General features: G+C 38.1%; 1 annotated feature.

Moving 5' to 3' along the window:
* Window positions 14,980-15,621: an enhancer, noted in NCBI's record as "NANOG hESC enhancer chr5:52840750-52841391 (GRCh37/hg19 assembly coordinates)". NCBI's record gives its function as "activates a minimal SCP1, AML or CMV promoter by ChIP-STARR-seq in primed H9 embryonic stem cells {active_cell/tissue: H9 hESC(primed)}" and the evidence as "EXISTENCE:reporter gene assay evidence [ECO:0000049][PMID:30033119]".

Below are 16,014 nucleotides of genomic sequence, written 5' to 3'. Positions count from 1 at the left end.
ACTGGGGCTTAAAAAAAGAGGGGAAACGCTTAGTTTAAATAAGTAAGAAGAAAAATGTGCGGGAAGAAATGCAGAAGTGCATTAACTGTAAATATTACCACCATAAAGTGTAATCTTTACTGCTTGTTAGGACTGGTGTTTTACAATGATAACGAAAAGACCAAAATATACTTGCATATTTAAACACCTGCAACTCGTAATTTATTGAAGAAATTAGGATATTTGGGGCTGAACCCACTGGAAAAGCTGGAGAGCTCTTTGGGTCCTTGAGAACCTGCAGTAGTACTTTTCCAAAGTATTGCCAGATTCACTTTGCAAGCCCTCAGGACAGGGCTGTATTCAGTTTGATATTCTGTAGTAGTAATGTTCGTATTTTCCAAACGAAAAATCTGGATACGTGATCTGGCAAAGGATTATTTTTTGACATGTAGATTTATATGAAGAATCAATAGAACATAATATTTGATGTCACTGTTTCCCCAGTAAATCCTGAATGTGTGTGTGTTCATAATCCATAGACATGAAGAATGATATTAATGCTCCATGCATATAAAACAAAAATTATCTTCCAATACAAGTGTTGGAAACATGTTTGTATTGTGGACTTCCGACCTTAAAGAATAATGACTAACTGAATTATATAAAATAAAAAGCAGGTTAGTTTTGGGTTTTGTTTTTTAAGAAATTTGTTTAAAGAGTTAGTACTTTCCTGCTTTTAAAATTAAGCACATGAAAACATAACCTTCATTAAATAAATAGGAACAATAGGAGGATGGGGAATGACATAGTTTGGCATTATGGACCGTTAAAGGAAAACCCAGTACATAAGGGAAAGGGAGAAAGAAAGAGAAAAAGTCATACTCAGGGAAAGAAATGCACAAGATGAAGGAAGGCAAGGGAGAGATGCCTCAGAGAAAATTTTCTTTCAAACTTTTCATTTTGAAATAGTTATAGATTCACATGAAGTTGCAAAGATAGTACAGATGTCTTGTGTACCTGTTTCCCCCAGTGATTACATCTCGTATAACTCTAGTACAGTATCAAAGCCAGGAAACTGGCATTGATATAAAGTATTTGTGTAGTCCTATGTCATTCTACTACATATTTTGTGTAACCACCACCATGATCAAGATACAGAACTATTCCACCCTCACAAAGATCTCCCTAGTGCTAACCTTTTTGGTAACACCTGCCCTCCTAACCCTAGTGATCTCTGTTTCTGTTTTTATAATTTTGACATTTTGAGATGTTATATGAATGGACTCATGCAGTACATGACCTTCTAAGATTGGCTTCTTTCACTTGGCATAATGCACTTGAGACCCATCCAAGTTGTTGTGTTTATCAATAGTTCATTCCTTTTTTATTGCTGAGTAATATTCCATGACATGGATGTACCACAATTTGTTTAACCATTCACCTATTGCAGAACATTTTGATTGTTTCCCATTTGGGGCCATTACAAATAAAACTGCTGCAAACAATTGAATACAGGTTTTTATGTGGACAAAAATCTTCATTTCTCTGAGATAAATGCCCAGGAGTGCAATTGCCAGGTCATGTGATACATGTATGTGTCATTTTTTAAAGAAATTAAAAACTGTTTTCCAGAGTAACTGTAACATTTTACATTTCCTCCAGCAATGTATGAGAGATCCAGTTTCTCCATATCCTCACCAGCATTTTCTATTATTGCTATTTTTGTTTTAGCTGAGCTAAAGTAAATAATAAATGTGCAGTAATACCTCATCACAGTTTTACATTTATTCCCCTGGTGGCTAATAATGTTGAATATCTTTTCATGTTTTTATCTGCCATCTGTATATTCCATTCAGTTAAATGTCCTTATGTCTTTTGCCCATTTTCTAATTAGCATTATTTGGTTTTTTACCTGTACATTTTGAGAGTTCTTCATATATTAGATGTGTCTTTTGTCAGATGCATGATTCACAAATATTTTCTTCAATCTGTAGTTTGTATTTTCATTCTCTTGACAAGATCTGCCACAGAACAAATATTTTTAATTTTGATGAAGTCCAGTTTATTCATTTTTTAAATTTATGGATTGTGCTTTTGCTGTCATGTCTGAGAACTATTCTCTAATCCTGTATCCTAAAGATTTTATCTTGTTTTCTTTCAAAGGTTGTTTTAGTTTTGCCTTTTACATTTAAGTCTATGTAATTTTTGTGAGTTAAGTTTTCCATTAATAGGTGTGAGGTTTAGGTTCAGGTTTTTGCTTGTGGCTATCCAATTGCTCTAGCACTACTTATTGAAAAGTTTATCCTTCTTCCATGGAGTCCCTTTTGCACCTTTGTCAAAATATCAGTTGGCCATACTTGTGTGTGGCTATTTCTGGGTTCTCTATTTCAGAGAGAAATTTTAAGCCCAAGGGTGGCTTTGGTGTCTGGGTGAATTTTAATAAAGATTTTCTATGTGAAGGAATAATGGGATGTGTCCCAGTGTTCATAAGAGCAACTTCCTATAGCCCTGTTACTGGCCCTACCAACCAAAGCTCAACCTCTCCACCTAACACCTATTCTAGTCCCCAACTTCCATGGATCTGAATTCCCCAGGAAAGCCCCCGGTCTCTAGTCTCTTTGTCTTTTGTACAGCCCATAATCCAACATCAGCATTGCCAGAACCCTAGTGGAATCTTTGATTCCCTTCACTTTCTGCTGGATTCCCTCAGCTGCCCATTCCTGAGGTCCTTTCTGACCTTATATACAGGATATAGGTGTTAGAATGGAACAGAAATAACTTGGTATGTTCATTTATTTATACTATTTCACCTATACCACAGGCTGTACCATTAAGCTTAATAGAATGTCTAGGTCCAAGTGCCATTTTGTTATTTCAATGTGCTGCCCCAGAAGTTGTTAACTACTAGAGTCCACTTCTTTGCCTCTTCTCTAGTCATCCTCCTTGCCCTTCAGATCACAGCTGTGAGTCACATCCTTCAGAGTCACTCCCCATGGTAGAAACTACGTCTTACAGGCATTTTTCACCTCCGCCATCCTTGCTGACAGAGCCTGACTCCTATGATAGAGACTAAAGTTGCTGTATATTGGCTTTCCCATTAGCTCCTGCAGCTAGCACATGAACATGTCCAAAGCCAACAGGATCTGAAATCCCTTTTGAGAAAAAAGACTTCTGAAAAAAAAAAAAAAAAAAGACATACAAGAAGAAATACCTCTTTTCCTGCGTCTGAATGCAGTTATATGAGGACATAATGCCTAGAACTGTGGCATCTTCTGAACTAGAAGGGACAAGCATAAGAGCTTAGCTAACAAGAAGGGGTGGAGGAATAGAGAGAGGAAAAGAGCCTAGGGCTTAGTTGACATCATTGAGCCAATCCTGAACCGACTTTTAAACCAAACCTGATGAAAATACCTCCAAACTTCCTGTTACATGAGGTAATAAATGACTTAATTGTTTAAACCTCCATTAGTTAGATATTCTGCATCCAAAAACATCTTTTCCTATGCTCTTACATGAAAAATACTTCTCTGACTTCCCTTTATGTCAGCTCTTTCTGTAGACTCTCCTAGCATCACATCTTCCTTCTTCGTAGCACCTCTCATGTCTCAGTTTTAATACACTATCATTGTCACTTTCTCTACAATGTAAAGTAAGTTATCTGAAGACAAGGATCATATCTGATTTTGATTATCATTTTCCCAGTATCTAGCCTAGTCCCTCACATATAGCAGCCTCCAAAGGATGTATGGAATAAGTGAATGAAAGTAACTGGAACTTTTAAAATGTCAAAAAAATGAAAAAAAACAGTGCTATCTCTATTTGCTATTTTGCTTAGGAAAAGCTCATACAAATTAATGTGATTGCTGTCTTGGGTCTATAGATCTTATTGGTTTCTAAAATTTCATCTTTGATCAGTTGCCATTTCCTGAAGAACTTGGTGAGATATTGGGGACAGGAGCTCCACGTTGCTGGCAAGAGATCGGAAAAGATAAATTTACCTTTTACTGGGCTTGCATTAAAAAAATGTAATAACCTCTTTCATTTCCTTTTTTCTTACATTTCAAATAAGGATATAGACCTGAGAGTGGAACAGAAATAATTTGCTGTGTGCATTTTTTTATAACTTCAACCAAACTATGCATTCTACCAGTAAGCGTAGTAAAATGCCTATGTCCAAATACCATTTTATTATTTCAAATAGGAGTATTAAAATGTAAATTGACTTTACTTTTTGCTTGCACTTCATCCATGATTGCCAAATGAAACATTTATCTTAGACTTTCTGATGGCATGTGAAAGTTACAGTGGATCCAAAGTTGTCTGTTTTTAATTTTTCCCCTTGCACATGGGTCTTTAGTAAAGCATCCAGAAAAAAATAAATTAAAACCAGACATTTCTATCAGAAGTTTCACATACAATCACTATAGACATGACAAAATTCCACCATCACTTTATTGGCTGCAAACTAATTTTTTTATCACATCTCATTTTTCACTGCTAATTTATTTGAAAAACTTAATACCTTATCATCTTATAAAATTATCATGACATCTAGCAGTGCAGCTGAGGCTTTGGCAACAAATGAAAGAATTTCTACCTATAGTGAAGATCTGTCACTTGAAATTATTTTTGGAAAACAAGAGGTACAAATAATCACATTCTTAAGAACTCAAGGAGTTTTCCCACATAAATTTCAGAACATACTTCATCACCCGCTGGAGTTTCAGCCCTAAATTTTCAACTGCACATAGGTCATTCTCAAACTTAACATATAGAAAACCAAACTAATTCTATTTCACCCCTTTCTCTTGCCCCAAGAAAATCTGTTCTTCCCCTCAGTATCTCTGCCTTGGCAAGATATGTACTATCATCTTTCTTCTAATACATGTCATCAACTGTAAAAGGCACCGTTATTTTCTGTACTATTAAGAAAGAAAACAATGCAGCAATTGAACCATGACATAGTACTAATTATATGTCTTGATTTCAGAGAGGTAAACTGTGGGAAAATGCACATCTTAGAATCAAAGAAATATAGTAATTGTCTGCCCTAATATATTTCCTCCCCTTTTTTGTGGTAATAGAACCTGTTATTTTATTTTATTTTATTTTTTTACTGGTTTCTGGAATAAAGACTTTATTTTTCAGCCTCTTTATTGCTAGGAGTAGCCATGTGACTAGGTTCTGGCCATTGAAATACAAGGGGGCAGTATCATGTGACAACTTCTGGGAAACCTCCTTTAAATGCAGATAAGAGTCACACTTCTTTTCCCCTACTTTTACTTCTTTTATCCTGCTGCCTGGAGCTAAGTGTGAAAACTCAGATCATGAGGACAATAGCTATACTTAATGATGAAAGAATAATGATGTGGAAGAAGCCTGGATCTCTAATCATCATTTGATTCCCTAAGAAATGCCAATCTATTGATCCTACCACCATTTTCCTGTTCTCCACTCCTTTGATGAGGACCCTCTTCTCTTACCCAGGTTAAATTCTATGACCAACTGTTATGCTTCTACTCATGACTCTCCTGTCTGTTTCTCATTTTTTTTTTTTTGTACTCAGCAAAACTGCCATCTAAATGAAATCCAACTCTCTTTCTGTTCTGCACCTGCACCCATAAAAGCGAACAGGACTGGAGAAAAGTATCAAACCATACTGATTTGTCTCATTTGACCATAAACTTCAAGTTGGCCATATTGCTACTTAGCAATTATATTAAACTTCTTTGCATTCTTATCACATTAATTTTCTCACTTTATTATGTGGATCTTTCACACCTTGTTTTCTCTCCTCGAATCTCTCCAGTTCTCAATTCTTGCGATGACTTTCCTACGTGACTGAGAAAAGTGGAGCAATCAAAAGAAGACTTCTTCAGACACTCACTACCTTATCACTTACCAGCAGCTGCACTCACATACTCTACCTTCCCTCCTATTATCATAGATAAAGTATCCATGCCTCTATCTAAAGCTAATCCCTCCACTTGTGCACTAGATCTCATCCCATCCTGAACCACCTATATAAGATCTTTCTAGTAAGTCTGTCCTTTAGAAGAAAATAGGAGAAAATCTTTAGGACACAGGGTTGGTGAATAGTTCTTCAACCTCATACCAAAAGCACAATCTATACATTTAAAAAAATGAATATAGCTGGGTACAGTGGCTCACACCTGTAATCCCAACATTTTGGGAGGGTGAGGTGGGCGGATCACCTGAGGTCAAGAGTTTAAGACCAGCCTGGCCAACATGGTGAAAACCCGGTCTCTACTAAAAATACAAAAATTAGCTGGGTGTGGTGGCACACACCTGTAATCCTAGCTACTTGGGAGGCTGAGGCAGGAGAATAATAGCTTGAACCCAGGAGACAGAGGTTGCAGTGAGCCAAAATCGCGCCACTGCACTCCAGCCTGTGCAACAGAGTGAAACTCTGTCTCTAAATAAATAAATAAATAAAAACTGGACTTCATCAAAATTAAAAACATTTGTTCTGCTACGGATCCTGTTAAGAGGATGAAAAGAGAAATTACAGATGGAAGAAAATATTTGTGAACTACATATTGATAAAACTTGTATCTGGAATATATAAAGAACTCTAAAAATGTAACAGGAAAAAAAAATCAAATATTGCCATTTAGAAACTGGGCAAAAGATATGAGACATTTAACTGAATAGAATATACAGGTGGCATATAGGCACATGAAAAGGTTTTCAACATTATTAGCCATTAGAGGAATATAAGTTAAGACCATGATGAGACATCACTACACACTTATTATTTATTTTACGCTACCTTCAAAGTAAAACTATAATATGACCACTTCTCACTACCTCTATTGCTAGCACACAGGTCCATGCTACTATCATCTCTTGCCTGGAATGCTGCAAGTCTTTTAATATGTCTCCCTGCATTCATCCTTACCCACTTATAGTATATTCTCAATACAGCTGCCACAGTAGTCTTTTTAAAAATATAAGGCAATTCATTTCACTCCCTTGCTCAGTACCCTCCAGCGGGTCCTAGCATCAGAGTTGATCTTTTACATCTGCTATGACTTTTTTCTTCCTCTCTCTGTTGTTTTCTTAAACATGCCAGGCAGGTTTTCAGGTTAGGGCCTTTGCATGGATTGTTCCCTCTGCCTAGAATATACTTCCCCCATATCAACATGGCTAACGCCCTCCATTCTTTAAGTCTTTGATCAAATGTCACCTTTTCAGTGAGGCTTTCCTTGACGTATATATCAGTCAATGTCTTGTAAGGAAAACAGAAACTGCTTTAGATATTTCAGAGGACATCTAATTTAGGGGAATTGTTTACACAGGTGATGGCATTTCTGGGGAACTAAACAAGGAAGCTCATGAGGCAACTCAGATACTAGAATCAGCAACATCTGCTATCACCCCTAAGAGCTAATACACCACAGGGAAAACTGGTGTTACCAGAGCTCTAAAGCTGGGGTAGCCAATGGGATTCAAAACCACAGCAAGGGCTGTTGAGCAGGAGCTGGGATCAGGGAAGGAGACGCTGTCTAACAGGAACTAAAATCATGGGGAAAACAATGCAACCACTGCCAAGGATAACCCCACCCCAAGCAGGGGGAGGAAGGATAAGTACCCCCAACTTACTCTCCAATCTGCCGGTGCTTCCCATTAGCTAATGCAACTAGAAGCCAGAAGTCCAGAGAACCCAGGGGAAATGGTATCTTATAAATGGCAGAGCAGGGAAAGGCAGGGAAGAAATCTGATAGCAAACTGGCAGAAATCCAACATACCACCTTATCCAAAATTGTAAGCTCTCAATCTTCACCCCTACCACTTACTACCAAACCCCTTAGCCTGCTCCACTTTCTTATCTATCAGGACTCATAAATGTAAACAACAAAAACCTACTGTGGTTATAGAAAGGAAGTTATCGAAGATCCCAAATATCTCAGTCAGTGGAGCATCAGTAAAGGAAGTTACTGAAAACATACTGAGTAGGAAATCGAATCACAAGAGGTCTGAAGAACAGAGCTAAATTTTAAAAGGGCAGTAATAAATAACCTAGGCAGAAAGCAGGACCAAAGCCAAATTATGCCACAAAAAGTAGTCCAGTGAGGACTCTAGTATTGTGTTAAATACAGGGTGCACAGCTTCCTAGACCCCATTTCTGGAACCAAGACCATTGCTGTCCATGAAAACTATGCCTGCTGCCACCACTACTGCCACCTATCTCCATAATGGATCCTTCACTGCCCTGGGTGCCCAGTGACTCCCTCTCCAAAATCCAAGGCAAATATGTCTCAGTGCCTGAATCTGGGTCACATGCTTATATCTTAGCTGCATAGGAGATGGGAAAGGGGATGTGTCATTTTCAGGTTTCTTGGTAAGAGGCAGTCTTCACCTCTTGTCCATATCCATAAGATGGTAATTTCCCAAACATACAAATGAGATTTACATGCAGGGCAGTCAAAAAAATTATAAATGTTCACTGCATCCTTGTATGTAACCCAAATGCCATCACTTTTCTCTCTTGGATATCCTCTATGCAATCTTATTTTTTTAGAAACTTCCAATGCAATCTTAAAGACCTAGGTTAACAGTTGCTCTTTCATTTAATGTCCCCACTCCCACTGTCCAAGAAGTGTCCATCAGTCTTTTCTTTTTGCCATCACTATATATTATATAAACTTCCTCCATGGCACTATTTTTTTTTTTTTTTTTGAGACAGAGTCTTGCTCTGTCACCCAGGTAGGAGTGTAGTGGCATGATCTTGGTTCACTGAAACCTCCGCCTCCCGGGTTCAAATGATTCTCCTGCCTCAGCCTCCCGAGTAGCTGGGATTACAGGGATGTGCCACTGTGCCCAGCTAGTTTTTGTATTTTTGGTAGAGACGGGGTTTCACCATGTTGGCCAGGTTGTTCTCGAACTCCTGACCTCAAGTGATCTGCCCGCCTCGGCCTCTCAAAGTGCTGGGATTACAGGCATGAGCCACTGTGCCTGGCCAGCACTATTTTTTTAAAAAACACATATTATATACCTACCATGCCCTGGACATACTAAGGGCTTTACATATTTTATTTGATCTTTAATAATATACTCAGGGATTTACATATTTTATTCTATTTTAATTTTTAATAACATAGTAAGGGCTTTACATATTTTATTTAATCTTTAATCATCTCTAAAATGTAAGTATAAATATTTTCTTTGTGTTGCAAATGAGAATATTGAACCGCACAAAAGATAAAATGACTCACCCAAGCTGGATACTTCCCGAAAGCAAGAAAGACAAGATATGAAACCCAGTCCATCAGAATCCAGTATATGAATTTTTAACCATATGAGAGATACACTTCTTTAAAAACAAAGAGCGTGTGTGTGTGTGTGTGTCTGTGTGTGTGTGTATACAAATAAGAAACAAGAGTGGCAAATGTTGATAATTATTGAAGCTTTTGATGAATATATGGGTATTAATTATACTGGTTTTTTTTAAATTAACACACACATACATATACACATATCTTCTTCAAACTTTTTTTTTTCCTGGAGTATTTCAAAACAAATCTTGGTCATATATTTTACCCATTGATCAGCAGAAGCTTATGGAATTCACACTAGGATCCTGCCATTAAAATGACTTAGTTTTGCTCAATCCCTACATAGTAGTTTCACAATACCAAAATCTTATGGAGCTACAATCAAATTGGTTCATCTTGGTTCAAATTTCCAGCCCTGTCAATCAGCAGGACTGGCGGTGGCACTGATTAGATATGACTGCCGAAGCCGATCCCTTCAGAAGAGACCAATGCTAAAGGAAAGTGTATGTGCCAAGTAAATACTCCAACTTTTGCCTAAGAGGTTTTATATTGCTCTTGAACCCCTAAAAGAAAATAAAAACTTTAAAGTGTTTGTTGACAGTGAACATAATTGGGTTTATTTATTATAAATAAGACTGACGTTACACCTATAGTAATTTGTGACTCAGGCAACATTTGTCTCTGGTACATTTGATTTCCTTGTATTAGTTAAAAGTTGCTTTAATAAATAAACCTAAATTCTCAGTGGCTCATCACAATAAAAATTTATTTCTCTGGGGGCCAGGTGCCATGGCTCTCACCTGTAATCCCAGCACTTTGGGAAGCCAAGATAGTTGGATCGCTTGAGGTCAGGAGTTCAAGCCAGCCTGGCAAACATGGCGAAACCGCCTGTCTACTGAAAATACAAAAACTAGCCAGGCATGGTGATGTGTGCCTGTAGCCCCAGCTACTCAGGAGGCTGTGGCCTGAGAATTGCTTAAAACCAAGAGGAGGAGTTTGTAGTGAGCCAAGATTGCTCCACTGCTCTCCAGCCTGGGTGACAGAGTGAGACTCTGTCTCAAAAAAAAAAAAATTATTTCTCACATGTCAGTAGAGTTGAGGGTATTCCCTATCAGGCCAGAAAACTAGGCTCCATCCTTCTCCAGGTCCTTGGAGATCTTTCCATTCAATAAGCCAAGGAGAAAAGATGCCATGCAGGTAGTGTGGAAAGTTTTTATGGATGAGACTTGGAAATAGCATGTATCACTTCTACTTATAGTCCATTAGTCAGAATTCAGTCATACAGTCACACATAACTGCAAGGTAATTCTGGGAAAAATGGCATATCTAGGTGCCTTGAAGGAAAAGGAAATGGACTTCGGTTAACACATAAAAGCCTCTGCCACAGCCTGCTCTTCTGATCACCCAACATCCTTTTTCTTTCTCCTTACATACAGAAAACACTCACCCTCTTCCGAAGACAAACAAACCAAAGTTTAAAGCAGACACGGCATCCATACATTGTCCATGTAAATGTGCCAAATTATGGGCTACCATGATCTAGAAAAGGACAAGTTTTATGAACCCCCACTGCCATCCACATATTCACTCAAATTACAGTAGTGGAATTGCAATACACACATCTATTTAGGAAGGAAAAGAATTAGAGATATCCAGCTCTCATTGGTCTTTGCAATATTTATTTATTTATTTATTTATTTTTATTTTTATTTTTTATTTTGAGATGAGTCTTGCTCTGTCGCCCAGGCTAGAGTGCAGTGGCCTGATCTCAGCTCACTGCCAGCTCCGCTTCCCGGGTTCACGCCGTTCTCCTGTCTCAGCCTTCCGAGTAGCTGGGACTATAGGTGCCCGCCACCACGCCCAGCTAATTTTTTTTGTATTTTTAATAGAGACGGGGTTTCACCATGTTGGCCAGGCTGGTCTTAAATTCCTGGCCTCAGGTGATCCACCCACCTCAGAAGACAGGTGTGAGCCACCGTGCCCGGCCGATCTTTGCAATTTTGGAATTTTGCTGGGCAGGCATTATGAAGGTTCTGAGCCTTGACCAGATCTTTATTCTTTTCTCTGGTAGGAAGTCCATTATCCATTGTTCTCTGTGGTTCCTAGATCCAGGCCTCTAGGAAGTATGTGCTTGTCCTATATCCTCCACAGATACACCCAAAGTGTGTCCCTCTTGGTTGTGGCCCATCTTTACTGCTCGCTCCTAGTGTGCAAGTTTGGGCTTGTGATTGTGTTTATAGCAAGAAGAGCCGCAGACAAAATCCTTCAGACACCAAGTTAAAGAAGGAAGGGGTTTATTCGGCCGGGACATCAGCAAGACTCCTGTCTCAAGAGCCAAGCTCCCTGAGTGAGCAATTCCTGTCCCTTTTAAAGGCTCACAACTCTGAGGGGGTCTGCCTGAGAGGGTCGTGATCCATTGAGCAAGCAGCGGGTACGTGACAGGGGGGGCTGCATGCACTGGTAATCAGAATGGAACAGAACAGGACAGGGATTTTTACAATGCTTTTCCATACAATGCCTGGAATCTATAGATAATATAACCAGTTAGGTCAGGGGTTGATATTTAACTACCAGGCCCAGGGCGTGGCACCGGGCTGTCTGCCTGTGGATTTCATTTCTGCCTTTTAGTTTTTACTTCTTCTTTCTTTGGAGGCAGAAATTGGGCATAAGACAATATGAGGGGTGGTCTCCTCCCTTACGCTGACAATTCAATTCCTTCAGAATCACGGTAGATTTCTGATTTATGTGCTTTTCAGTCAGTTCCATGTGTCAGTAACCACATCTGAAAGTCTCCTTAGACACAGCTCTCAGGCCTCATTTTTTTTTTTTTTTTTTGAGACAGGGTCTCACTCTGTTGCCCAGGCTGGAGTGCAGTGGCGTGATCTCGGCTCACTGCAAGCTCTGCCTCCCAGGTACAGGCCATTCTCCTGCCTCAGCCTCCTGAGTAGCTGGGACTACAGGTGCACGCCACCACGCCCGGCTAATTTTTTGTATTTTTAGTAGAGATGGGGTTTCACCATGTTAGCCAGAATGGTCTTGGTCTCCTGACCTTGTGTTCTGCCCGCCTTGGCTTCCCAAAGTGCTGGGATTACAGGCGTGAGCCACCGTGCCCGGCTAGGCCTCATTTATTTCTTTGCTTCCTTGACCCTTATGGTGAATAGTGATCCAGGTAAATACAGCTAAGAGATTCCTTGCGGGGCAGAGACAAGACATCCTCACCAAGCTTCTTCTCAATTGCATAAAAATCATGAGTAGATAAAAGGTTGTTTTAAACTATTAAGCTTAGGGTGGTTTGTGACACAGCAGTAGATAACTATATTATGATATGCCTTTTTCTCTTCTCTTACCTGGCCAGCTAACTTAAAGGCACTTAGACTTTGAGTAGGAAGGCCATACTTGTAATCTGTTTATTTGGCTCAGAATAAGTTGTATTAATACTATTAATATTTAGGCAGAAGCAACAGTTATAAACCATGACTATCCTGGTCAAACTGGGACATACAGTCACCCTATGGCCCTTTGTTGCTCGAAGTCTTTTTTCCCCAGGGTTATCTTCTATTCCCTAAAGTTTAAAAGCAGTCAACTTTTCCAGTCCTTTGAGGAACCACATTTCTAGCCTTTCTTTATCCCCTTTATTTCTGTTTGCAAACCAGTCCATTCTTTCCTAAGCACATTTGTCTCTTGTGATAGCTTGCTAAAAGCAGTCAGTCTTATTTTTTCCAGTCACTTCCACTGATGCTACAGGTTCTGTGGTTCTTTCAAGTTCTCCTTGGAGGCAGCTTTACCATGCGTTTTGCTTCTGGATATCATGAATCTCTATCTTTCCAGCCTGTAGTATCCATTTCCTCGTTGTTTAATGCCCAGCCACTAAAACCAATGTCGTAAAATGTCTTACGTTCAGCAGTTCTTCACTTTCAATATGAAATGTGTAATGGTTCAAAAATTATATATATATATATATTTTTTCACTCACATAAAGTCCAATCTAGGTGTTCCTGATTGGTGATTCTCCTGTTAAGTGTTTCTGGAATGTGTTTCAAGGCTCTTTCTATTTTGTAGCTCAGTCCTCTTCATCCAAGGTTTTCAAAGTCACTGTGTTCTGAGCGAGTCTGGAAGGTGGAAAAAGGGCATAAAGGATCATGTATAAGAGACTTTTATGGACCAGACCTGGCAGTGAAGCCACATCCTATTAGCTAAATACATCCTATTAGCTGAAACTCATTCACATAATTACACCTCACTGCAAGAGAGGCAGGGATGTGTGGTCTAGCTGTGTGCATGGGGGGAAGAAAACAAAAAAAGAAAGAAACAGGCTTTCTGAAAAGCCAGCCTGTCTCTGCTGACCTAGGCCACAGAAGTAATAAGATTTGCTCAGCTCTTAATTATTAACCTGTTAGAAATAAAAGCAAATTTGTGGATAATTTAAATTTCAGTAATCTAAAAAACATTGTGCATTGAACTTTGTGAGGTATTTTCTCTCTGCGTTTGAGTATATATGTGGCTGATACTCTTGAAATGTCTTTTTAAGCAAATAACATGCACTATACAGATTTCATTCCTGCAAGGCCAGGAAACTGCTCAGTTTTGCCATCTAGTCTCCTCCTTTGGAACCGTTTGCAAACTAATCTAAAGTGTATCACCTTTCAAATCTTCTTTGGAGCTAAATGTGCTATTTCAACAAACTTATTGGCTTGCAGATAAACATAAAGTAAGTATAAGATGTAATAAAATAATTAGCATAGGATCAGAAATCATCTGATTCACTTCCTCTAATTTTCAAATGATTGTTTTATGTTTATTCCATTTTACTGTAGATGCTTGGAGTTAATAAGCATAAAAAAATATTTTTACGAAGTAAAAAATAGTGCTGAACAATAAAGAATTGACTATACAAAAAAGTATTACAAAATGTTAATAGTTCAAATCAATTTTGAAAAATTGCTGTCTGTTATCATTTTTATTAGAAGTTTTTAAAATAAAGAGCATAAGAGCTGTCAACAGTTTCTCCAAACAGATTAGACTTGTCTTTTTAAACTCTTAAAACCTAATTATGAATGAAGCTAGCATTTTGTTTGCGGTGTCTTCTCTTTTCTCATTCCTTGAGAGTTTCACTAAGACTGTACCTCCTTTCAGGCATTAAAAATTGAGCAGTAATAGTCAATAGATTATATTACCAGGAGGTGTATTAATTTCTGGAAGACATCAAGATTCCAAAGCTTGCCTTGAAATCATCAGTTAATCACGTGGCCCAATTGCAACAATTGAGGAAAGCAGAATGGAGCTATCCCATGCCACTAAAAGGCTTAGCATACTAATGGCCCTTTGACACTACCAGCCATTCAGAAATCAGACTTTGTCATGCTGAAGAATAGACCACTCACCCCCAACAGGAAGCATTGGGGAGGCAAACGTGACAGTAATTCCCTGTCAGATAAAACTGAGGTATTGTTTTGGATTCCATCATATGTGAAAAGAATTACCCAGTCATAAATTTAAAATATTCTCTCTTTACCTGTTAGTCACTCTGTATTAGAGTTAAGTGTTTGTGACAGATTAAGGTTAACAGTTTATAAAATCTAGGTGTTTTTGAATGGGTTGTAGAAATTGGAATATGGTCACTTGCTCTATTTTGATAATCTAAGTATTGCTAAAGATTATAGATACAGCTGTGGAGGGGAAAAATGAATCAAGATTCAAATATTTTCTGTTTTTTATTAGCTAGTAGAAGGCAGGATATAGTGTGAGAAAATAAAGCATAGCAGGGAATAATCTGCTTTAGAGTTACTTTTCTCCATATTTACATAGTTTTAAATGACCTTGTATTAACATGCAACAAAACACTAGAAACAATTCAGTAGAAAGCCAGCATAAAAACCCAGTAATGGTCCATGGAAACTTAGGGAGGTGGGGGAACTCACATTAACACATCAAAACTAATTTGAAGAGGATTTAATTGATCTGTGGGTTGTCAAAGGAAGACTTCAGCTTGTAAATTACAAGTGGGTGTCTGCTCATTACCTTTTTCCTTTTGAAAATAGAGTGAAGAGACATAATCTTAGTGTTTTATCTGTTCGTATTTATTTATTATTTCCCACCTTAACTATGAATGCAGTGCCTTATTTTGCCCAATTATCTTTTGTTTGAATCATTTTTCAAAGGGGGAAATATTTATTTCAGGGGTGATTATCTCTTGTTCCATGAAAGAGGAAAAAACAGGTTCAAATCAGGGAGACTTCATCAAAGAGACTTGTAATCCCTATTGTGTCTGTGTATTCTTCCCATCAGTTTAGAGAATGTGATAAATATCTCTTTGAATCAAGCATTGGCACTTACTTTTTCAGGTTCCAACAATTTAAATGTGGTGCAAAAATAGGATATTCAGATACAGTAATTTACTACATTGTGTTGCTTTTGAATGTAAAAAAAACCACTTGTAATTCTTTTAAAAATGCCCCCTTTGCTAGAAGTACTTAATTTTTTTGTATAACTTTTATTTTATAATAGCACTATGTTTTGGGGGGAAAAGAAAAATAAAACAAGATCATTCTTTGTGACTCAATACGTTTCACTGAACCCAATAAATGAATAATTGCAAAAGAATAAGAAGCCTTTTAAAGTTTCATTTAGCTCCGAAAACCTTCCCCAGACTGTCAGCTCCAGCTACGCTCTCCTGCAAAAGCAAGTATTATTTTAGAGTTTTTGAACAGCACAGGTTTACAACAACATGGAATTTATT

Source organism: Homo sapiens, chromosome 5 (assembly GCF_000001405.40).
Source record: "Homo sapiens chromosome 5, GRCh38.p14 Primary Assembly".
Classification (NCBI taxonomy): Eukaryota; Metazoa; Chordata; class Mammalia; order Primates; family Hominidae; genus Homo; species Homo sapiens.
The sequence above is the reverse complement of the archived record's forward strand: the minus strand, read 5'-3'. Positions and strand labels throughout refer to the sequence as shown.